This window comes from Homo sapiens, chromosome 5 (genome assembly GCF_000001405.40).
Source record: "Homo sapiens chromosome 5, GRCh38.p14 Primary Assembly".
NCBI classification, from domain to species: Eukaryota; Metazoa; Chordata; class Mammalia; order Primates; family Hominidae; genus Homo; species Homo sapiens.
In genome coordinates this window covers 143419175-143442795 of record NC_000005.10, presented here as the reverse complement: position 1 = coordinate 143442795, position 23621 = coordinate 143419175, and the positions used below count along the sequence as shown (strand labels likewise).

Below are 23621 nucleotides of genomic sequence, written 5' to 3'. Positions count from 1 at the left end.
CTTAGGAATATTATTAGATGTTGACCCATATTGTATCAAAATTAGACATAGACCTTGGTGTGTGTTTGCCTCCCCTACTGTTCTGACTGTTGTCACTCTTTTCTGATCTGTTTCCCCCACTATACTGTATTTAAATTTGTGAAGGATTTTACAGCCTGGCTATTCACCAGAATGAGACATCATTCAGCATTGTACTGACTCAGTGGGATTTCAACAGACATAGATTCAAACCCTGAATAAGTTGCAAAGTTCTTTGCTTGAGATTTAAGTGAGATTCAGTCTCTTCTTTCTAAATTTGCAGATTCTATATGGAGTTCTTATCAGCGTTCTGACCAGTTCTCTTACTTTTGTAAGCTTTCATCGTCATTGACATCATTATCTCAGCAGTTTATTTATTTTGTCCTGTGTTAGGTACTCTGCTATATGCTTCACGTTCATAATAGCACTTAAAGATTCACCACAACCCTATGAAAGAGATGCTATGGTTAGTCCTGTTTTGCGGATACATGAGAAAATTGAGCTCCAAGAGAATAAGGAACTTACCCAAGGAAACACAATACTAAATACCAGAGCTAAGATTAAGGCTAGGTTCAGTTTGACTCCAAATCCTGTTCTCTTAGCTTTCTATTATACTGATTAAGCAAGAGATAAAAGTGAAAAAAGTTTCCAAGGTGGTCCAACCCTTTCCAGTTTTATAACAAATATTTAAATAAGGATGATGATATCTAATACTCTGAGCATTTTAGTAGGGATGAGGGAAAAAGAAGAATAATTGGTGACCCAGTCTGACAGAATTTGGCTTACAAGGCTAGGTGTAGTGGCTCATGCCTATAATCACAGGGCTTTGGGAGGGCAAGCTGAGGGGATCACTTCAGGCCAGGAATTTCAGACCAGCCTAGGCAACAAGTAAGGCCCCATCTCTACAAAAGATAAAACAAAATAAATTCACCAGGCATGGTGGCATGTGCCTGTAGTCCCAGTTACTCAGGAGGGTGAGATGAGAGCATCCCTTGAGCCCAGGAGTTTGAGGCTGCAATGAGCTGTGATAGCACTACTGCACTCCAGCCTGAGCAACAGAATGAGACCTTGTCTCTTAAAAGAAAAAAAAAGAATTTGGCTTGCATAGGCTATTACTCAGAAAAAATACTCCCCAATTTCTTTACAACCTAGAGTTTTAAGAGAACTGGGCTCAGGGAGGGGATGGATATTATTGGGCAAAATTGTTTATTGGGAGAAAGTATTTTTAGTCACTTTGAAAGTGTGCATGGTAAGATTAAAAGCTACGGAAGAGAAAATATACACCAATATTATTCTTCAGGCCAGTTTGAAGCATTATACTTTGTTAAAACAACAAATTTTTCTTTCAAAAAAATGACCCTTTCAAACTGAGTTTCTTTCATTATTGAGGTTGAGAATATTATGTTTGCTGGACATTTTTATTTCCTTCTGTGTGAATTATCTATTCATAAATTTTGCCCACTTTATATTGAAATTATATGCATTAATAATTTATAATAACATTTTGCATATTTTGGAAATCAGACCTTGTGATTGTCATTATATTGTAAATATTTTCTCAAGTTTTTTGCTTATGCTTTCTTTGACTATGACATTTCCTATCTAAATATATTTTTAATTTTTATGTTAGAAGGGTAGCTTTGAGTGTGTGTGTGTGTGTGTGTGTGTGTGTGTAAAAGACAGGGAAATAATTTGGATGTCAGAAGCTGGTTTTACAAATCTATTTCATGCCAATAACAAGCAGGCAGGGAGCCACTGTATAATTTGTGAGGCAATTTGCAGAAGGCTTCCTGTTTGACTCTGGGCATCATTAAATAATAGCCATGTGCAGATTTGGCTACTTTCCATGCATGGCCTAAAAGCGGGCCTATCGGCACTCACATCAGTTTGCAATGCCTGGCTGGTCATAATAGGTGTTAATACCAGCCCATAAAACTACTGCTACTTTGTGGATTTGTTGAAATGTCAAGTGATTTGCTGCTGAGAAAAAGAATGACAGAGAAGAAAGAAAGAAAGCTGGAAAGAAGGTAGAAAGGAAAAATGAAGAGAAAAGGAAAGAAAAAAATAAAAGGAAAAGGAAGGAAAAGGGACAAGTAAAAAGATAAAGAAGTAGGTAAGAAAGTAATTGAAAGACAAAGGAAAGGTGAGGAGAAAAGGAGAAAGAATAGAAAGGAAAAAGAAATAGAGAAGCAAAATATAAATAATGATGGAAGGATGGAAGGAAGGAGATAAGGAAGAAGGAAAAAGGGAAAGAAGAAGAGAGAAAATCAAAATTTAAAACTTCAGACTAAATTCATTTCAACTATACAAAGAATCATAAATCCTAGGGATGAAAGAGAATACATAGTTCCTTTACATCTAAGGCTCTCGTTCTACAGCTCAATTCAAGGCCAGAAAGATGGAACTTGCCTGAAGCTCACACAGCAGTTTCATCACATAATGGGAACCAGATTCCAGCCAGGTCTCTTAACTTCCAGTCTAGCCTACCTTCTCTCATGCTGCAAGTTTTTTGTTTCATTGGAAACTTGCCAGTGTTTTAAATCGATTTCAAGCAATATCTAACATAAAAATATATTAGCAAAAAATAGACCTTCCCCTTGACCAGAAAATCTTACCCTATGAGATTTTAAAAAACTGTAGCACATTCCCATAACAGAATTTGACTTACAGTATACATACTTTTAAAAGATGAGCTAGCAGTTTCTTCCTTATTTTATTTTATTTTATTTTATTTTTTGATACAGAGTCTTGTTCTGTCGCTCAGGCTGAAGTGCAGTGATGCAATCTTGGCTCACTGCAACCTCTGCCTCCCAGGTTCAAGCGATTCTTGTGCCTCAGCCTCCTGAGTATCTGGGATTATAGCCACCACACCTGGCTCACTTTTTGTATCTTTACTAGGGACAGGTTTTCACCATGTTGGCTAGGCTGGTCTTGAACTCCTGACCTCAAGTGATCTGCCTGCCTCAACCTCCCAAAGTGCTGAGATTACAGGCGTGAGCCACCACACCCAGCCCTCTACTGTTTTTGTTTTGTTTTGTTTCGTTTTGTTTTTGGGACAGAGTCTCGCTCTGTTGCCCAGGCTGGAGGGCAGTAGCGGGTTCTCGGCTCACTGCAAGCTCCACCTCCCGGGTTCACGCCATTCTCCTCCCTCAGCCTCCTAAGTAGCTGGGACTACAGGCGCCCGCCACCAGGCCGGGCTAATTTTTTGTATTTTTAGTAGAGACGGGGTTTCATCATGTTAGCCAGGATGGTCTCGATCTCCTGACCTCGTGATCTGACTGCCTCGGCCTCCCAAAGTGCTGGGATTACAGGCGTGAGCCACTGCGCCCGGCCCCAGCCCTCTACTTTTTTAAAAAAGTAAAAGTTTTAACTTATAATAGAAAAAATGTATTTAAAAGGAAATTACTCAGGATAACTTAGGAAAATGCTAAAGTTTTCAGTACCTTTAATAGAGTTGCCATTGTTTTGATATTAGACACCTGAGGAACATGGTATTTTTTCCATTCCTATCTGGGGCCAGATAGTCAAAGAGAAGTAGGAGTTTGCATGTACTCGCAGTTGGCCTTTCTTTTCGGTGTTATTTAAGGTAGAGATATGACTTTTCTAAGAAGGGAAGCAGATGGTGAGTGGTTGAACATTAAAAAGAAAATATATGAATAACTGAAAAACCAGAGTATTTCTCCAAATACCCTTAACACGGAAAAGATCCTCTTTGACATGGTTGGAGTGTGCCCTCTCGGTCTTGCAGTTAGGAGGCAGGACTGAGTGAGAGCTCAGGTTTTCTCTCAGTCCCACGGTCCTATATGATCCTATAACACAGTTATAAAAAAATCCCTTTGCCCTAATTAACTAGTTATTGCTTTAATTTTTAATTATCTATTTTGCTTTGATAATGGGGACTTGCTTTATTCTATTAATTTATTTTGGATGGCACTCTGTTTCATTAGCTTAATGGTTTAGAATTAGTGCCAACGAGGCCAGAGTATTTGGTTTCATCCATTCATTCAATAAATATTGTTTGAGCTACCTACACATCAGGGACTGTTCTAGGTGTTCAGCAGACCACATAAACAACACAAATAAAAACCCTGCCGTCGGCCGGGCACAGTGGCTTACACCTGTAATCCTAACACTTTGGGAGGCCAAGGTGGGCAGATCATGAGGTCAGGAGTTTGAGACCAACCTGGCCAACATGGTGAAACCCCGTCTCTACTAAAAATACAAAACTTGGCCAGGCATGGTGGTGGACACCTGTAGTCCCAGCTACTCGGGAGGCTGAGGCAGGAGAATCGCTTGAACCCGGGAGGCAGGAGGTGCGATGCGCTGAGATCGTGCCATTGCACTCCAGCGTGGGTGACAGGGTGAGACTCTGTCTAAAAAACAAAAACAAACAAACAAAAAACCCTAGCCACATGGAGTTTATACTCTGGAAGAAGAGGGTGGAGATAGACAACAAATAAGTATAATAATATATGGTATCTGAAATGGTAATAAGTGCTACAGAGAAAAATAAAACAAGAACGGGGATAGACAGGGTGGGGCTAGAAAAGGAGCCTTAATTTTCAGTAGGATGATCAGATATTTGACCAGAAGAGTCTCTGATGAGAGAAGGCTTGAGCAAAAACCTGAAAGAGATAAGGAGTAAGGGCAGCTGAGGGATGTGTGCAAACAGAGTGACCCTGCCTGGGGAGAGGCATGTGGCTGGGAGAGGCCAGGGAGAGGACAGTGGCTGAAGCATGATGAGTGAGGAGGAGGCTCAGAGAGGCTGGGGTCCAGATCTTGTAGGGCTGGGAAGGCCGTTGTAAGGACTGTGGCTTTAAGTGTGAGTGAGGTGAAAAGGTTTTTCTTTTCTACTGGGGATGCATTTTCACATGACCCCATTGGCTGCTGGGTGGAGAAGAGCGCATTCCAGGGCAAGGGCAGGAACAGGGCCAGGACTAAAAGAGGCTGTTGCTAACCCAGGCAAGAGATGACAGTGGCTGGGGTCATGCTGCTAGCAGCCAAGCAAATATAGGATAGAGATGGATATATCTTGAAGCTAGAAATCACAGGATTGGATCAATGGCCTGGATATGAGGTGTGCGAGAACATGAGGACTCAGGATGATTCCTAGACTTTCGAAGTCCTAAGCAATTGAAAGGATAGAGTTGGAATTGCTCTAAAGTGAATAGGAGAAGGCTGCAGGAAAAACACAGTTGTTTGTTATGAGTAGGGACCAGAAGTTCAGTTTTGAATAACTTTGAGATGCCTACTAAATATCCACCTGGACATGATGAGTAGGCTGTTGCGTATGTGAGTCTGGAGTTCGGAAGAGACATCCAAGTTGCTGACATAAATTTCGGTCTTCAGTGTAGAAATTTGATTTAAAGCCATTGGGTTAAACAAACCAACCAAGGTAAGAGTATTTGCAGGTAAGAGAAGAGACCCAAGGACTTAGCCCTAAGGCACTCCAGCATTATGATGTAGGGGAGATGAGGAACCAGCAAAGGAGGCTGAATGGAAACAGAGAAGGAATGGCGAGTTCTGTGCAAGAGACAGGAAGAAAGAGAATGCAAAATGGTCAAACAATAAATAATTAAGTTGAATTAGATGGTAAAGAAATAAATGCAAGGAAATGCAAGGCCATAGTCACTGGGCAGACAGAGTAAAAGAACATGATGAATCAGGTGAGATTAATCACCCCTCCTGGAACTATCAGAAAAAGATACTCACTGACAGTGAGGCAGTCATGTTAGTCCCCAAGTTGATGACTAATGGAAACTAAGGTCACAGTGCACATTAATTTCTTTTGAAGCAAAGGATAAAAACAAACAAAATATAAAAGATTAAGATGTAAACGTTAGTGTACACTAATTCAGAGAAGAATTAAATGATTTTTAAAACTTCAAGAAGGAGGACAGCATTCTAAATGCATTGTTCTAAAACGATAGTAAGATGGGATAAATAGTCACACTAGGGTGATGATTTTGGATGTGTTAAATTTGTCACTTTGAGACCAGATATGCTCCATTTCACTTCATGCCAGCTTTTAAGAACATATATCATAGAAAAAGAGAAAAGAAACAGTTGAATCAAAGTGAAGAGAAATATTGTGAAGCAAATAAATCCAGGGAAAAATTAATAAAACCCTATTCCCACCCTAAAAAAAAGAAACTAAAAGAAGTGCAAATATAAAGTTCAATAGGAGTCATTAGAGATTGTAAATTGGGCTCTGAGCTTCCTACCAACAAAAGCACAAAGGAAAATATGATCACTGGTATTAAAAAAAAACACCTATGGTTTCCAAAAGATTAAAACAAACCAGCAGTTTTATAGAAGCTAACACTAAAATCTAAAGGAACTACGTTCTATGGAGCCACTTAATATGGATAAACACTTTGACAATATTCTTTCAACAACTACAGTAACAAGTTTCTTAGAGTCCATTTCTTTTTACATCCATAATGAATTGTAAATCTTTTCTACTTCTTAAGTAAAACATCACCACTTAATTCTGGTAACTTTTCCATATTAACTTTTTAGAACAATTGCAAACGTACCATAAATGATTGTTGTCACAGTGGTAACTATTTGACCCTGACTGTTATTTTGTATATAGCAGCTTTTAAAATAAAAAGGCAACAAGTTTCTAGGCGTAATTTCCACAGATCTTTTATGTAAAACAATGACATCCTTTGCAACTTCTGCCATTTAATCTATCTCAAGCAAGCTCTCTGGAAACAAATCTATTTGAAAGATTCTATTGTAATTAGAAATCAGGGTAACTGAATGCACTAGATGAAAACCTTCTGACTGGGGCCAATGAAGTCAATAAAGTCAAAACTGCTGTGAATGCTCAACTGTCTGCAGATCAGATGTCTTGGGATGGAATCCGTTCTCGAGGCCACCATCATTAATATCAATTTGGCCATGTAATACAAGCCTCACTTGTTCCACTGTTACAAATGTGCTTAAAACTGAGCTCATTTACAATCCAAATACATATGTAGGATGGTAACCAAGGCATCACACTAATTTAGGTATTATGTTTTAGGGGGAACAAAAGGTATGTTAATATTTTATTCATCTCCAAATTAACTATAAATTGTGCATTCTTGCATAGATCCTCCTTGGGAATGAGAAATTAGGAAAATCCAGTTGTTAAAATGAATGCCTAAAATCAAAATAAAATTTGTTTTTCTGGCACCTGCTTGATGACACAGACTAATAACCAATGACAAAATTGCCCTTGAACCCAAGTTTTCATTTCCTCCTATTGTGTGGTCAGGTTATGTAAGGGTTTGCTTTCACCCCATTCAAAAGGTACCTCTTCCTCTTCTCTTGCTCCCTCTCGCCCTCATTCTTGTGCCTATGCAGACATTTGAGTAGAGGCGAATCACTTTCACTTCTGCTGGGGAAATTGCAACACGCTTCTTTAAATGGCAGAGAGAAGGAGAAAACTTAGATCTTCTGATACCAAATCACTGGACCTTAGAAGGTCAGAAATCTTTCAAGCCCTGCAGGACCGTAAAATGCGCATGTGTCCAACGGAAGCACTGGGGCATGAGTGGGGAAGGAATAGAAACAGAAAGAGGGTAAGAGAAGAAAAAAGGGAAAGTGGTGAAGGCAGGGAGGAAAATTGCTTAGTGTGAATATGCACGCATTCATTTAGTTTTCAAATCCTTGTTGAGCATGATAAAATTCCCAGCATCAGACCTCACATGTTGGTTTCCATTAGGATCTGCCTGGGGGAATATCTGCTGAATCAGTGGCTCTGAGCTGAACTAGGAAATTCACCATAATTAGGAGAGTCACTGTATTTCTCTCCAAAAAAAAAAAAGTTATACCCGAGAGACAGGATCTTCTGATCTGAAATTTTCTTCACTTCTGAAATTCTCTGGTTTGTGCTCATCGTTGGTAGCTATTTGTTCATCAAGAGTTGTGTAGCTGGCTTCTTCTGAAAAAAGGAATCTGCGTCATATCTAAGTCAGATTTCATTCTGGTGCTCTCAGAGCAGTTAGCCCAGGAAAGGGGCCAGCTTCTGTGACGACTGCTGCAGAGGCAGGTGCAGTTTGTGTGCCACAGATATTAACTTTGATAAGCACTTAATGAGTGCCTTCTCTGTGCGAGAATGGGGAGGAACAAAATGCAGCTCCTACCCTCCTCGGGCTTTAGTTGTACCTTAATAACAGGAATTTTCATCTGCCTGGCTCCTTTCCTCAAAGAACAAAGAAGACTTTGCTTCATTAAAGTGTCTGAGAAGGAAGGTAGGTTATATTTTTATTCCCATTCTATAGCTGGGTAAAGTGAGTTCTAACAAAGTTACTTGTTAAAGGTCACTCAGAGGTCAGAGCATCAGAAAAAAAGACAATCACAAGGCTGATGTTGTGTGCTGGATAGTTTAAACTGAACAGGAAGAAAACATTTTTGTGGGCTTTATCTAAAAAGAAATAGTTTGCTCTGAGTTTCTCAGTTTCATTTATTCAGCAAGTATGTGCCAAGTGCTATTGTAGGCAATGAAGATACAGCAGGGAACAAAACAAAACTGACATGGAGCTTCCAACTAGAAAGGAGAACGAGACAACGCGTTTTAAAATATATATAATGTGTTAGGTAAAAAGTGCTATAAGGAGAGCTAAAACACAATGAGAGGCTAGAAGAGTGATAGTGGCGGAGGGGCTTCTCTGAGGAGATGACATTTGATCAGGGGTCTGAATAAAGTAAAGAGGCCAGTTATGTGAATATCTGGAAGACTCAAGGGGCAGGGCGGAAATAGCCAGTAGAAAGGCCCTGAGGTAGGAAGGTGTGTGGCAAGTTTGAGGAAAAGGAAAGACAGTCTGACTGGAGCAAAGAGAACTGGAGCTGAGGCCATCAAGGCAGCCAGGAGCCAGGTGCAGACTGGGCTTTGACTCTGCCTGCAGGGAGGAACTGCTGAAGGTTCCAAGCAAAGGACCGCCCTGACCTGCCTTAGGTTTGAACAGGATCCCTCTGGCTGGTGTGTGAAGAATTAACTGTAGATGGGCAAGTGTGGAAGGAAGGAGAGCAGTCAGGAAGCTGCCATAACCATCTACATGAGAGAGGTAAGGCCTCAGATGGAGGGGAGCAGTGGAATGGTGGAAAGTGTTTATTTTGAATGTTAAGCCTGCAGGAGTTGCTGGAGGATTGGACATGGGGGATGAGAAAAAGAGAGAGGCTTACAGATCAGGTAATTTAGCTGATCTTAAGCCCCTTACAGCTTAATATTATTCCAAGGTGCCAATAACAGCCAAGGTAAACAACCTTGTCTTGGACATTCTGCCTTTATTTGCCCACACAAGATGAAATTAAATATATATATATATATATAATTTAAATAAATAAATTATATATATATATAATTTAAATAAATAAATTATATATATATATATTTAGTGCTGTTTCCATCAGCTACTAGCTGAGACACTTGGGCAAATGAGGGTGATCTCCAGTCCTCAGTATCCTTGCTGTTAATGAGAGATGGTCATTTCTTCTCTGCCTAGCTCAAAAGAATATGTTAAATAAAACTCTGTGAACTTTAGGCAGCACAGGCTTAGGGCTTCTTAGTAACATCATCAGCACCATCAGAGTTAACTTCATGAGTCAGTTGAGTTGCCTTTGGGGTATATCATTAACAGATTCCAGGAAGCTCCCCTGCCCAAAAGCCTCCCACCAATGGCCTGCCTTGTTGAAAGAATTACACAATTAGCCCAATTCCTTTCCATTAAGGCATTGTGGACTCCAAACATCCTCCTTTAAAATGGAAACTAAATCGAGCTACTGTCAGTCATTTGTCCTTTTAGGTGACGTTATATATCAGATCACTTTTCTGCCATTAGAGCTAGTTGAAGTTTGAATAGGGAAAAGGAACGAATGAACGTGGGGCAGAGAACGCAATAGTCGGTGGGTTACTCAGTAGGCTGTGGACAGATGGAGAGGATCCCGGTGGGAGGAGCCTCTAAAGATAAACTTTCTATGGGAAAATGTTGACAGATTTACCTGAGTCATGGTTTTTCTTACACCTCATAAAAATGAAGGCTTCCAAGGGCAGCTCCTTGAAATAGCTGTAACAAGTAGCCACAGAAGTTGAGTTGCTTAAAGAAAAACATTGAATTCATGGGGAACCGTACGCTTTAATAGCCCCTTTGGCTTACTTTGTTTAAACAAACTCATCCCGAGCATCTCACACTTCACCAATTTTGAGTGTCCCTGCTTTACCTCAGCCTTTTAAAGAGTGTCTTTCCCCTAAATATTTCTGGAAATGCCTAAGGGTGCTGACGTGCAGCCAGAAATAGTTCACTTCTGTCCCCACTATGGCAGGAATCCATGGACCAAGGCTCTGATGTTTCCACAAAGATGCCCCTCAGGACTAGAAATCTGTCCCCATCCCCGTTGCCACCACAGTCACCATCACCTGGAAATCCTGCAGGACCAATGTTTGTGAATTTGGAATATATGCTAGATGCCTTACTACCTTGTTATGACCTTATTTCTTTATAGCACTTTTAACCTAGCGCATTACATATTTTAAATGTATAATTCAGCGATCCAGATCACTGGTCCAGTGTCACCTCCCACTCAGCAAAGTGAGATGAACACACTTGGTGCTACATTCAGCTAGGCTGGCACTGTAGATGCACCCAGTCCCAGGTATTCTAGTGGCTCATGACAGGGCTTCCTCACTGGAGACATGCTGAGCCAAGCAAGGCAGTTTTTACCACCAACCCTGATAGTCGTACACATATTCTGCTCCTCCACCCCCACCAAGGTTGAAACTCCGCTCCTGTCAGCTTTGCAGCTACCACCACCCCCTCAGGGAGAGTCATCTCTGTTCCCAAACCCATATAAATGTCATTCAAAGCCAGAGGATGTAATTGCTGTAGTAATTGTTATAGTCCACTCATCCAGGGGCCCCACTGCAAAGCTGATTAAACCATAGTGTTACTACCTTTTACAGAGTTATTATTCTTCCAAATCAACCCACTGCACCTTTCTCCAAGGCTACAAAAGTGCCCCTAGGGTGGCTGTGTACAGGCAAGTTTTGATGTCAGCTGGGAAACTACCTATAACCCCCACTCTCTGCTAACACCAACTTTTCTTTTTCTATTTTATTTTATTTTATTTTACTTTAAGTTCTGGGATACATGTGCAGAACGTGCCGGTTTGTTACACAGGTATGCATGTGCCATGGTGGCTTGCTGCACCTATCAACCCACCACCTAGGTTTTAAGCCTCGCATGCATTAGGTATTTGTCCTGATGCTCTCCCTCCCCTTACCCCCCACCCCCTGACAGGCCCGGGTATGTGATGTTCCCCTCCCTGTGTCCACATGTTCTCATTGTTCAACTCCCACTTATGAGTGAGAACATGCATAACACCAATTTTTCTTATTGGAATTGTAGTGCCAGTTTAGTTCTTCAGTGGAAGCACTTGTTCTTCTCTATAATCTGTTCTCCATCTGGGAACACCCTACTTTCTCAGACATAGGTTTGCAGTGCATTGGTGGGCAGGATTTCAGTCCTTTCTCTGAAAGTTCCTAAGCCCTATTGAAAAATGAATGCACTGGGGAAGGGTGTGGCCCATCTCTCTCCCCAGAAGCTCCTGAGCCACATTTCTTACCCAGTCCCGGAACCCTGGTATCCTAAACCATGTCTGAACCTGTACCCCTGTGGCCCCAGAAAGGGACCAAACAGTACATCCCATGAAACCACAAAGAGATCATAACCTTCTCCTCTCTCCTCCCACATCTCTACATAAACAACATTTATATAGATGACTGAATTCAAGATACGTTTATTTGGTACTGATGGTCAACTGGAAGTTCCTAAGCAGAATTACTTATAATGTGGGACTGTGTTTTTAGTGGTTGCAGTGAAGGCTCAACACCCCTAAACACGGTGGGAACTTGCTGAGGAGGCAGGCTGTGAAGGGCAGGGTATTAGCATCTTTCCTTAAAATAACATGTGTCTTAGTGTGCTCAGGATGCTACAGTAAAAATACCATAGATTTGGTGGCTTAAACAACAAACATTTATTTCTCACAGTCTGGAGGCTGTGAAGTCCAAGATCAAGGCACTGACAGATCCAGTGTCTGGTAAAGGCCTGCATCCTAGTTCATAGCCCGCTGTCTTCTCACTGTCCTCAAGAGGCTGAAAGGGTGAGAGAGCTCTTCCGAGACTCTTTCATAAGGGCACTAATCCCATTCATAGGGCTCCACCTTCATGACCTAATTACTTACAAAGGCCCTACCTCCTAATACCATCATATTGGGGGTTAGGATTTCAACGTATGAATTTTGGGGAGACACAAACATTCAGTCTATATAACAACACGTACCGTGAAACTTTCCTACTCATAAAAGTAATATATCTTCACTGGAGAAAGTAAAAAAGTACAGAAAAATATGTAGAAGAAAATCTACCATCATCTCACATCCAGAGATATCCATGGTAAATATTTTAATACAATTCCTGTGAAGTTATTCAGTACACATTAATAGAGTTTGAAAACATAATCTAATATAAAAGCATGAAATTCATAAAGATATTTTAAAATAAAGTTAATATGTATGTGTGTATATGTATTTTTATATATACACAAACATATATGCTTATTATTTTTATTGTGAGCATTCCCCCATATTATTAGAAAACCATGATTTTTTGTTCTTTTTCTTTTTCTTTTCTTTTCTTTTTTTTTTTTGGAGATGGAGTCTCACTCTCTCACCCAGGCTGGAGTGCAGTGGTGCAATCTTGGCTTACTGCAACCTCCACCTCCCAGGCTCAAGCAATTCTCCTGCCTCAGCCTCCCGAGTAACAGGGATTACAGGCCCCTGCCACCATGCCCATCTAATTTTTTTGTATTTTTAGTAGAGATGGGGTTTCACCATGTTGGCCAGGCTGGTCTTGAACTCCTGACCTCAGGTGATCTGCCCACCTCGGCCTCCCAAAGTGCTGGAATTACAGGCATAAGCCACCGCACCAGACCAAAAACCATGATTTTTGATGGCATCATCTTATGGATGCAATATAATTAATTTAACCATTCTTCTACTAGTTAATATTAAGGTCATTTCCAACTTTTATTGTTGTTACATTGCCTCTCATTTTCTTTATAAATATTTGGCTCTTTTTATTTTGGATATGTTGTAGCTAAAATGCCATCCAGATAGTTTATTCTGATTTAGTGCCCACCAGGTTCTAGGTGCATGACTGCCATAGCAGAGATAGTTGCATACAGTTCAAGTTTAGATTTTGTTTGTGAGCGGGAGAATCCAAAGACCAAGTTCCTAATATTCTTTTGCCTGAAAAATGGCTACATAACCTTGCCAAATCTCTTAACATTTTCATGCCTTTGTTTCTAATATGGAAAATGAAGATACTCACCAATTTGTAACTGTAAACTACTACACAAGAATGAGGTATTCATTTAACCATATGGTGAGATTTTGTAGTTAAAATTAATTAATTGTGCTCAGTGGTCAGACTACTGGCTTTAAATCCTGGATCCATTATTCATTACTTCCTATTGTGTAACCTGGGCAAGTTACTTAACTTCTCTTCTCCTTAGTTTCCTCATCTATAAAATGAATAACAGAAGCACTTACCATAAGTGAGGATGAGATAAGATGGTGGTATATGTGAGTGGTACACATCTGTTACTATTATTATCATTGTTATTTATTATTAAGCAGTGAATTTAGACTCAATGTGAAATGGTTTAGAAGTCATCAGCTTCCCGTTTCATGTTCTTAAAGCACTGGTGATAAGAGTATGCCTGTATCATGCAGTTATAACTTTAATCAAAATATGAAAGTAACTTTAATCAAAATGCCAAGTCAAATTAGCAAAGTCAGCCCTTTTCAAAATGTGTGCCCTAAAGTAATAAGGTCTGCAGGGTGTGCCCCAGGGACCTTTGGTGGGGAGTGGGTGGTAGTCAGAATGGCGAAAACAGTGGGGATTTTTAGGGCCCCCACTCACATTGCTTTGCTTTTATAGCAAAAATTGTTGGCTGATGAACAAAATCATTTCCTTTTCTTGGACTCACAGCTAGACCTAACTTCCCAAGTCCTGTACAGTTAAATGTTACCATACAATTACAGTGGAGCCATATGTGTCTGTCTCAACCACCCAAGCCTGCCATTGCAGTGTGAAAGCAGCCATAGGCAATACTTAAACAAAGGGATGTGCTGTGTTCCAATAAAATGTTACCAAACTTTCCTATAGTTTGCCAGCCCCTGAACTAGAGCATGGTAAGGCAAGAGAGAATTGTAGAACGTGGTTGGAAAGGCAGAAGGAGTCAGGGAGGAAAGACCTTGTGGAACTCTAGCACAAAGTTTGGATTTTATCCTAAAAGCAGAAGGGAAGCCTTTGAAGGGTTTTAGAAAAGGGTATGACCTGAATTACAGAAGCTCAGTCCTCAGCAGATCAGTATTTCAACATTCACTCACCATGTGAACCATTGATCCCATTTTGTTACTTCCTCTGTAGAATCTCCTCTTAAGGAAATTGAAAGCAAGCTCCTGAATGAGATGGCATTTTCAGGGAAAGACCAGGAGGCAGACCCCAAGGGGCTTCACAAGATGGCATTTTTGTGGCCTTGGTGGATTTGCCATGACCTTGGCTTGGCAGGATCAGAAACCTGAATCTATTCGCCTGTAAGTCCTCTTTTCTTGTAAGTCCTATAAGACTTACACTAAGTTCAGGTGATTAACATATTAAGTCAAAAAGCCCATTTTAGTAATTTTTAATGAAAAACATAATTGCCACATGTGAGAAGCCCATTCTATTTTCATAGACATACTTATATTAGAATAACAATGACCATAATGGTTAGCATTTATTAACAATAACATTGTGCCAGGCACAGTGTCAAGCATTTTCCATGATGACCTCACAAGTCTATCGGTAGGAATTGTGGTTAAAACCCTCTTATAGATAAAGTCAGAGGTTCTAAACTTATAAGATCACAATGCTAGTGAGTGGTAGAGATGAGATTTGAACCCACACAGTGTAAACCAGAGTGTGGATACCTAGCCACTACAACATAGTGTCTCATAGGAGACATGTTCAGAAGGTTGCTAGTGGACATTGAATCCATGGGGGAAAAGAAGGCAGAAAAATCTGATTTTAATGTTATCAGGTTAATGGGGCCTGATGCAGCCATCTTGCAGAAGAACGGTATTGCTAGCAGGTCCTCCATGTTTGTTTACAACACTGGCTACGGCCTTCCCACTAGGATGGGAATTCCCAAATCCTATAATTTCCTAGATGGTGCTGGAAGAGGCACTGCTGAGGTTTGTTTTGCCAACTATCTTTCCCCTCTTCTTCTTGCCTTATTTGTCATTCTATCCATTAAGGTGACTTTTCATCCATTTTATATGAATTTCATAATTAACCTCTCAGGGTAATTCCCCCAGCCCACCCTACTATCAGGGCAGTCCCCAATATGACTAATCATTCCCACATACTAAGACCACAGACTGCTTCAGAATCTGTATTTATATTTTCACTATTAAAAAACTATGCTATCGTTTCCTGAAATCTCTATGAAAAAAAAATACTAAGCTATATCTGGAGTGAAATGGTCAGTAAGAACACAGTTTGTCACACAAAATAATGAAAATGCTATTTCTTACTTATAGTGCAGACTGGGGTTCTTCCTCTAGAATTAGAAATATTAGGCTTGCTAAGATGTGATGGGGAGTTCATTGGGGCTAGTGTTTTAGCTTTTGAACTCTTCAAAAGGAACAGAAATGAAGAAAAAGACCTGCTTTAATAAACAAGGTTAAGTCTGTATGATTTATGGACTTATGAGCAAATCTGACATCCACTCACATGGGTGGTCCTCCCAAGGGATAAACTTCGTAAAAGCACATTTAAGAAAAAGGGAGCAGATACTGTTGGTGCCCTCTTCACCAGGAGACACACTGAAAGGCTGCAGTAGCACATCAGAGCCTCACAGGTCAGCATCAGCCAAACAGCTGTTCTGTGCATCACAAGAATTCGTACATATTTCAAAATGACTAATTTGTACCTATGAGACAGGATTTGACCCACTAATTTTTGTACCGTAACGTTTTAATAAAAATTGTTTTTTCAAAGCGAAGCTTTGCTGAGCAGATGAATTATCATGTGGGAGTTTAAAAATTAGTCAAAGGAGTCTTGACAACTAAGTCCTTTAAGCTTGGCCTTCCCTTGGCCTCTGCCTACTCCTGATCATAATCTGAATAAACTTTAACTTTTCGACTAGAATGCAAAACACGTGTTTTTGTAAAACGAATATTAATGGCATAACTCGTGCTTTATTATTTTAGCTGATTTGTATCAATGTATCAACATTCCAAAGAAAATAGGGAGCATATGTTGGTTAATAATTTTTGTTATGACTATTGACATGTAATTCACATGACATAAACTTTACCATTTTAAAAAGTACAATTCAGTGAGTTTGAGTATGTTCTTAATTTTGTACAACCATCCCCGCTATCAAATTTCAAAGCATATCCATCACACCAACAATAAACTCTGGTTCTATTAGTAGTCACTCCCAATTCCCTTTTCCCTAGCCCCCTGGCGACCACTAATTAATTATTTCTCTGTCTCTATGGATTTGCCTACCATGAACATTGCATATAAATGGAATCACACAATATGTAGTCTTTTGTGTCTGGCACCTTCCACTCAACATACTGTATTAAAGGTTTCTCCATGTTATAGCATGCATCGATCCACACTTCATTTCCTGTTATGGCTGAATAACATTTTGTCCTCTGAATCTACCATATTTGTTTATCCACTCATGAGCTGATCACTTAGGCTGTTGCCACTTATTAGCTATTATGAATAATGTTGTTATGAACGTTCATGTACAAGTTTTTGGGCAGACATGTTATTTCTCCTGGGTAAATTCCTAGGAGTTGAATTGCTGGGTCATATAGTAACTCTATGTTTACCTTTTTGAGAAAACTGCCAATATGTTTTCCACAGTGTCTGAACCATTTTATAATTTCGCTGGCAATGTATGAGAGTTCCACTTTCTCCACATCTTCACCAACATTTATTTTCCTTTTTTTAAAAAACAATTATTGCTGTCCTAGTGGGTATGAAGTGATATCTCCTGTATTTTCAATTTGCATTTCTGTAATGAATAATGATATTGTGCATCTTTTATGTGCTTATTGGCTAGTTGCACATCTTCTTTAGAGAACTATCAGGTCATTTGCCTTTTTTTGAAATGTTGGTTGTCTTTTTATTGTTGAAATATAAAAGTTCTTTATATATTCTAGATCTAGACCTTTACTGGATATATGACTTGCAAATTCTACCATTTCTGTACGTTGTCTACAATTTCAACCATTCTGTGGGTTGTCTTTTTATTTTCTTCACAACGTCTTTTGAAGCAGAATAGTTTTTCATTGTGATGAAGTCCAGTTTGACTATTTTTTTCTTGTGCTTTTGGTATTGTAACTAACAAACCATTGACTAATCCGAGATTCTGATGTACATACATGCTTTCTTCTAAGTTTTATAATTTTAGCTTTTACATTTAAGTTTTTAATCCATTTTGAGTTAATTTTTTAAATATTCTTTTGCATGTAGCTATCCAGTTGTCCCAATGCTATTTGTTGAATAGGTGATTCTTTCCTCATTGAATGGTCTTGGTATTCTTGTAAAAAATCAGTTGACTGTAGGCATATGGGTTTCTGGACTCTCAATTCTACCCGACTGATCTGAATGCCTATCCTCATGCCAGTACTACACTGTCTTGATTACTGCAGCTTTGTAGTATGTAAGTAGTAGTACGTTTTGTGAGTCCTCGAACTTTGCCTTTTTTTATAGATTGTTTTGCTATTTTGAGTTAAGTATTTTTTTAAAACATCAAGTTAAAAATGAAGCTGCCACTCTCTAAAGGAGGACAATTTCAGAAAGGCACTGAGACCTGTGCTTGGTATGTAGTAGGTGCTTTTGAAAATGTTTGTTGCATGGAATGGATTGATTTCATCTCTATTCTAACACTCAATGCCATGTTCATTTCCCCTTTGGAGCCTTTCATCTCTCCCTTCTCTTTTCTAAGAAAATCAGTAACTCTCTCATTCATACATTGTACACATACATATCTTTATTTGTTTATGTGTCTATTTTCCACTAATTAGACTATAATGCCATATAAGGCTAGAATTACATCTAATTCATTGCTGGGTCCCAAAGCCATGCTTAAGACCATAAGTATATAGGGGTTTTTTTTCTTTTAAAAAGTTTTTATTTTTAATTATTATGGATACATAAGAGTTACAGATATGTAAAGGGTACATGTGACATTTTGATACAAGCATACACCATATAATGATCAAATCAGGGTAACTGGGATATCCGTCACCTCAAGCATTTGTAATGTATTTGTGTTAGAAGCATTGCAATTCCACTCTTAGTTATTTTGAAATATACAATAAATTTTTGTTAACTGTAGTCACCCTGTTGTCTACTGAACACTAGATCTTATTCCTCATATCTGACTGCATTTTCGTATCCATTAAACACCCCTCTTTTTTATTTTTTATTTTATTTATTATTATTATACTATAAGTTTTAGGGTACATGTGCACAATGTGCAGGTTAGTTACATATGTATACATGTGCCATGGTGGTGCGCTGCACCCATTAACTCGTCATCTAGCATTAGGTATATCTCCCAATGCTATCCCTCCCCCCTCCCCACACCCCACAACAGTCCCCAGAGTGTGATGTTCCCCTTCCTGTGTCCATGTGTTCTCATTGTTCAATTCCCACCTACGAGTGAGAATATGCGGTTAAACACCCCCTCTTTATCCCCCCTCCCCACTACCCTTCCCAGACCCTAGTAACCATCATTCTATTCTTTCTCTCTCTGAGTTCCCACATATGAGCAAGAAATGTGATATTTGTCTTTCTGTGCCTGGCTTATTTCTCTTGCATAATGTCCTCCAGTTCCATCCATGTTGATGAAAGAGACATAATTTCATTCTTTTTTATGGCTGAATAACATTTCATTGTGTATATGTACAACATTTTCTTTATTCATCTGTTGGTGGACACTTAGGTTGATTCCATACCTTGGCTATTGTGAATAGTGCTGCGGTAAACATGGGAGTGCAGATATCTCTTCGATATACTGATTTTCTTTCTTTTGGGTATATGTCCAGCAGTGGGATTGCTGGGTAATATGGTAGCTCTATTTTGTTGTTGTTGTTGTTTTTAGGAACCTTCATACTGTTCTCCATAGTGGCTGTACTAATTTACGTTCCCACCAACAGTGTATGAGGGTTCCCCTTTCTCCACACTTTTGAGAGCATCCGTAATTCCCTGTCTTTTTGATAGAAGCAATTTTCACTGGGATGAGATGATATCTCATTGTAGTTTAGACTTATATTTCTCTGATGATTAAGGATGTTGAGTATTTTTGGCCATTCGTATGTCATCTATTCAGATCTTTTGACCATTTTTAAATCAAATTATTTTTTCCTATTGAGTTGTTTACACAACTTATATATTCTGTTTATTAATCCCTTATCAGATAGGTAGCTTCCAGATATTTTATTCCATTCTGTGAGTTGTCTCTTCACTTTGTTGATGGTTTCCTTTGCTGTGCAGAAGCCTTTTAGCTTGAGGTGATCTCATTTGTCCACTTTTGCACTGGTTGACTGTGCTTTTGATGTCTTATTCAAAAAATATTTGGCCAGACCAATGTCATCTCTTGCCATATACAAAAATCAAATCAAATTGGATTAAAAACCTAAATCGAAGGCCTGCAAGTATGAAACCACTAGAATAAAACAATATATATGTGTTGGAGGGAGAGAAGAAAGTAATGAAGAAAGAAAGGCCAGGTGAGAAAGTAAGAGAGAAGGGAAAATGAACAAGAAAGACAAAAGTCATTCCAGGCACTGTTTTAAGGGGCATCTCATTTATTCTTACAACCTTATGAGATAAGCACTCTTACTTTCAGTTTGTTCAGGATGCTATAACAGAATCCCATAGACTGCGTGGGTTATAAACAATAGAAATTTATTTCTCTTAGTTCTAGTGACTGGGAAGTCCATGATCAAGGCACTGACAGAACTGTTATCTGGTGAGGACCTGCTTCCTGGTTTACAAATGGACAGCCATCTTCTCTTCTTGCTTTGTCCTCACATGGTGGGAAGGGGTAAAGAAGCTCCCTGAGGCCTCTTTTATATGGGCACTAATCCCATTCATGAGGGCTCTGCCCTCATGACCAAATCACCTCCCAAAGGTTCCACCTCCTAATGCCATCACCATGGGGTTAGGATTTCAACAGGAATTTGGAAAGGACACAGACATTCAGAACATAGCACCCCCATTTTACAGATAAGAACAGTGAGAAACAGAGAGTTAAATAATTTTCTCAAGGTCATACAACGAACCCGTAGCCTAGGCAGCCTGGCTCTTTGGTCATGTTCTTAAATACTATGCCATACTGTCTCTCAAATAAACACTAAAATCAAGATACTTGGGATGATCGTTGGGAGGCAGAGCCCAGATATCTATACTTTAAACAAATTCCCAAATGATCTGATGGGCAACTCAGATGAAAATCAATGCTTCAAGAAATAGCCAAATAAAACTCTATGGAAGGTAAAGATGGGGAGAGCTTGGTGAGATGTCATACTTGGGAGGAAAAGCCAGGGAAAGTAAGAGAAAACTGGGTATTAGTAAAGATCATGGAGAAGGGAAAACACAAGATATTGCTAGGCTAAAAAAGAGGCAGACCTGATGAAGCAGTGAACACCACTTCAGCCACTCCCTACCTTGGCCCCAGCTGGCCCTGGCTGTGACTGTGTTCCATACTCTGCAATGACATGTAACTTCCACCACGTCCATATCATACCTAAAGCCTACTTCAGTGTGTCCACAAAAGCAAGTAAGAATAAAAAGTAAGAGAAACAACTCACATTTATTTGCTGCTTATTATGTGCCAGGCTATGTCCTTTTTTTTTTGAGATAGAGTCTCACTCTGTCACCCAGGCTGGAGTGCAGTGGTGTGAGCTTGGCTCACTGCAACTTCTGCCTCCTGGGGTCAAGTGATTCTCCTGCCTCAGCCTCCCAAGTGGCTGAAATTACAGGCACGTTTAGTAGAGATGGGGTTTTGCTATGTTGGCCAGGCTGATCTTCAATTCCAGACCTCAAGTGATGTGCCCACCTCAGCCTCACAAAGTGCTGGGATTACAGGTGTGAGCCTCCACACCCATGTGCCAGGCTATGTTTTAAGTGCTCTACCCATGAGAACTCACTTAGTCCTCATAACAATCCTGTGAGGTAGGTACTATTGTTTCCCCCCATTTTACAGGGAAGGACTCTGAAGCACACAGAGGTTAAGGAGTTTATCAAGGTCACTGTAGCTAACAAGCAGCAGAACCAGATTCAAACCCGGAGCCCACACTCTTAATCACTATGTTGCTTCTAGAAGAAAGAAAATAAGGGATGAAGGATAGTAAAAACATGCAAGCCCTTCTGAGCCCCCTGTTGTTGGCCCCACTTTGGCAGGAGTGTTAGGAAGACTATGGGAACTCAAAGGTGACACTTAGCACTCTCCTCCAGAGGCTACAGGAGCCATCATTGGTAGCTAGCCATTTGTATCCCCCGTGATGGTGGAGAAAAGCCCACACTGTTGCAAGTTTCCAGAATTTTCTCTGCTCTGGAAAAGACTCCCAAACTAGGGTTAATCAAGTATCTTTTTTGGTGAATTTCATTAAAATTACCACATAAAAAAAGAAGAATTTGTCCTGAATTATACATATAGGAGAAAAATGATAAAATAAAATAATTTCCATTATCTTTGTAGCAAAAAAAGTTGGAATGATTCCACCAGGTTCTCTGAAGGACTTTGTTTTCAAAGGAGATGTTAAAATGTGTAAAATATCCAAAGGATACACTTTTGCAGCTGAATTTAGGATCTTAAGAAACATGGTTTTACCGTGTTTCCCAATGATTGTTGAAAAGAAGCAGTGACTGGGTTACATCTAGGGCAGGGTTTCTCAGCCTCGGCACTATTGACATTTTGGGCCGGGTAATTCTTTGTTGTGGGGGGCTGTGCTATGCATTGCAGGATGTTTAGCAGGATCCCTGGCTTCTACCCACTAGATGCCAATAAGATTCTCCCTTTCCATCTGTGACAACCAAAAATGTCTCCAGGAATTTCCAAATATCCCCTAGGGCCAAAATCACCCAGTTGAAAACTAGTGTTCTAGGGAAAACCATTATAATTAATAGCATGTCTATGATCTCCCCTGTTGCGGGAAGTCAGGGACCCCAAACGGAGGGACCAGCTGAAGCCATGGCAGAAGAACGTGGATTGTGAAGATTTCATGGACATTTATTAGTTCCCCAAATTAATACTTCTATAATTTCCTATGCCTGTCTTCACTGCAATCTCTAAACACAAATTGTGAAGATTTCATGGACACTTATCACTTCCCCAATCAATACCCTTGTGATTTCCTATACCTGTCTTTACTTTAATCTCTTAATCCTGTCATCTCCTAAACTGAGGAGGATGTATGTTGCCTCAGGACCCTGTGATAATTGTGTTAACTGCACAAATTGTAGAGCATGTGTGTTTGAACAATATGAAATCTGGGCACCTTGAAAAAAGAACAGGATAACAGCAATTGTTCAGGTAATAAGAGAGATAACCTTAAACTCTGACCGCCGGTGAGCCAGGGGGAACAGAGCCATATTTCTCTTCTTTCAAAAGCAAATGGGAGAAATATTGCTGAATTCTTTTTCTCAGCAAGGAACATCCCTGAGAAAGAGAATATGCCCCTGAGGGTGGGTCTCTGAAATGGCCCCCTTGGGTGTGGCTGTCTTCTATGGTTGAAACTGTAGGGATGAAATAAACCCCAGTCTCCCATAGCGCTCCCAGGCTTATTAGGAAGAGGAAATTCCTGCCTAATATATTTTGGTCAGACCAGTTGCTCTCAAACCCTGTCTCCTGATAAGATGTTATCAAAGACAATGGTGCCCAAAACTTTGTTAGCAATTTTAATTTCGCCCCCGTCCTGTGGTCCTGTGATTTCGCCCTGCCTCCATTTGCCTTGTGATATTCTATTACCTTGTGAAGCGCGTGATCTCTGTGACCCACACCTATTCGTACATTCCCTCCCCTTTTGAAAGTCCCTAATAAAAACTTGCTGGTTTTGCGGCTTGTGGGGCATCACGGAACCTACCAACATGTGATGTCTCCCCCAGACGCCCAGCTTTAAAATTTCTCTCTTTTGAACTCTGTCCCTTTATTTCTCAAACTGGCTGACGCTTAGGGAAAATAGAAAAGAACCTATGTGACTATCGGGGCAGGTTCCCCGATACTCCCCAAAGTATTGCATGGAATGCCACATTTCTTTTATCATAGTGCTTCAAATAAGTATTTCAGTGTGTTACTGAAAATATTTATAAACAAAATATATTTGATAGCAGGGTATGAATATGCCCGTGTCCTTGGAAGAGAAAGAGGGGACAAGAGAACAGGTATAACAGCATGTTGTTGGTGAAAATAAATTGGTAGTAATATAGATTGAATATCCCTTATCCAAAATGCTTCCGACAGGAAGGGTTTTGG

General features: G+C 39.9%; 1 protein-coding gene across 4 annotated transcripts in view, besides 3 other annotated features; it reads left to right on the top strand.

Annotated features, from left to right (window-relative positions):
- The window catches only part of NR3C1 (nuclear receptor subfamily 3 group C member 1), a 157582-nt gene continuing 141244 nt past the window's right edge, over positions 7284-23621 (top strand). The window contains exons 1-2 of one of the 4 annotated variants that reach the window (NM_001364183.2): positions 7987-8264; positions 8979-9077. The gene's annotated coding sequence lies outside the window, so the exon portion shown is untranslated. Of the gene's footprint in view, positions 8265-8978; positions 9078-23621 lie in introns of all 4 variants that reach the window. The other 3 variants (NM_001018075.1, NM_001018074.1, NM_001018077.1) reach the window with 3 other exon arrangements.
- Positions 7338-7537: an enhancer, noted in NCBI's record as "active region_23348". NCBI's record gives its function as "activates an Ori minimal core promoter by ATAC-STARR-seq in GM12878 lymphoblastoid cells {active_cell/tissue: GM12878}" and the evidence as "EXISTENCE:reporter gene assay evidence [ECO:0000049][PMID:35858748]".
- Positions 8018-8067: a silencer, noted in NCBI's record as "silent region_16484". NCBI's record gives its function as "represses an Ori minimal core promoter by ATAC-STARR-seq in GM12878 lymphoblastoid cells {active_cell/tissue: GM12878}" and the evidence as "EXISTENCE:reporter gene assay evidence [ECO:0000049][PMID:35858748]".
- Positions 15678-15747: an enhancer, noted in NCBI's record as "active region_23347". NCBI's record gives its function as "activates an Ori minimal core promoter by ATAC-STARR-seq in GM12878 lymphoblastoid cells {active_cell/tissue: GM12878}" and the evidence as "EXISTENCE:reporter gene assay evidence [ECO:0000049][PMID:35858748]".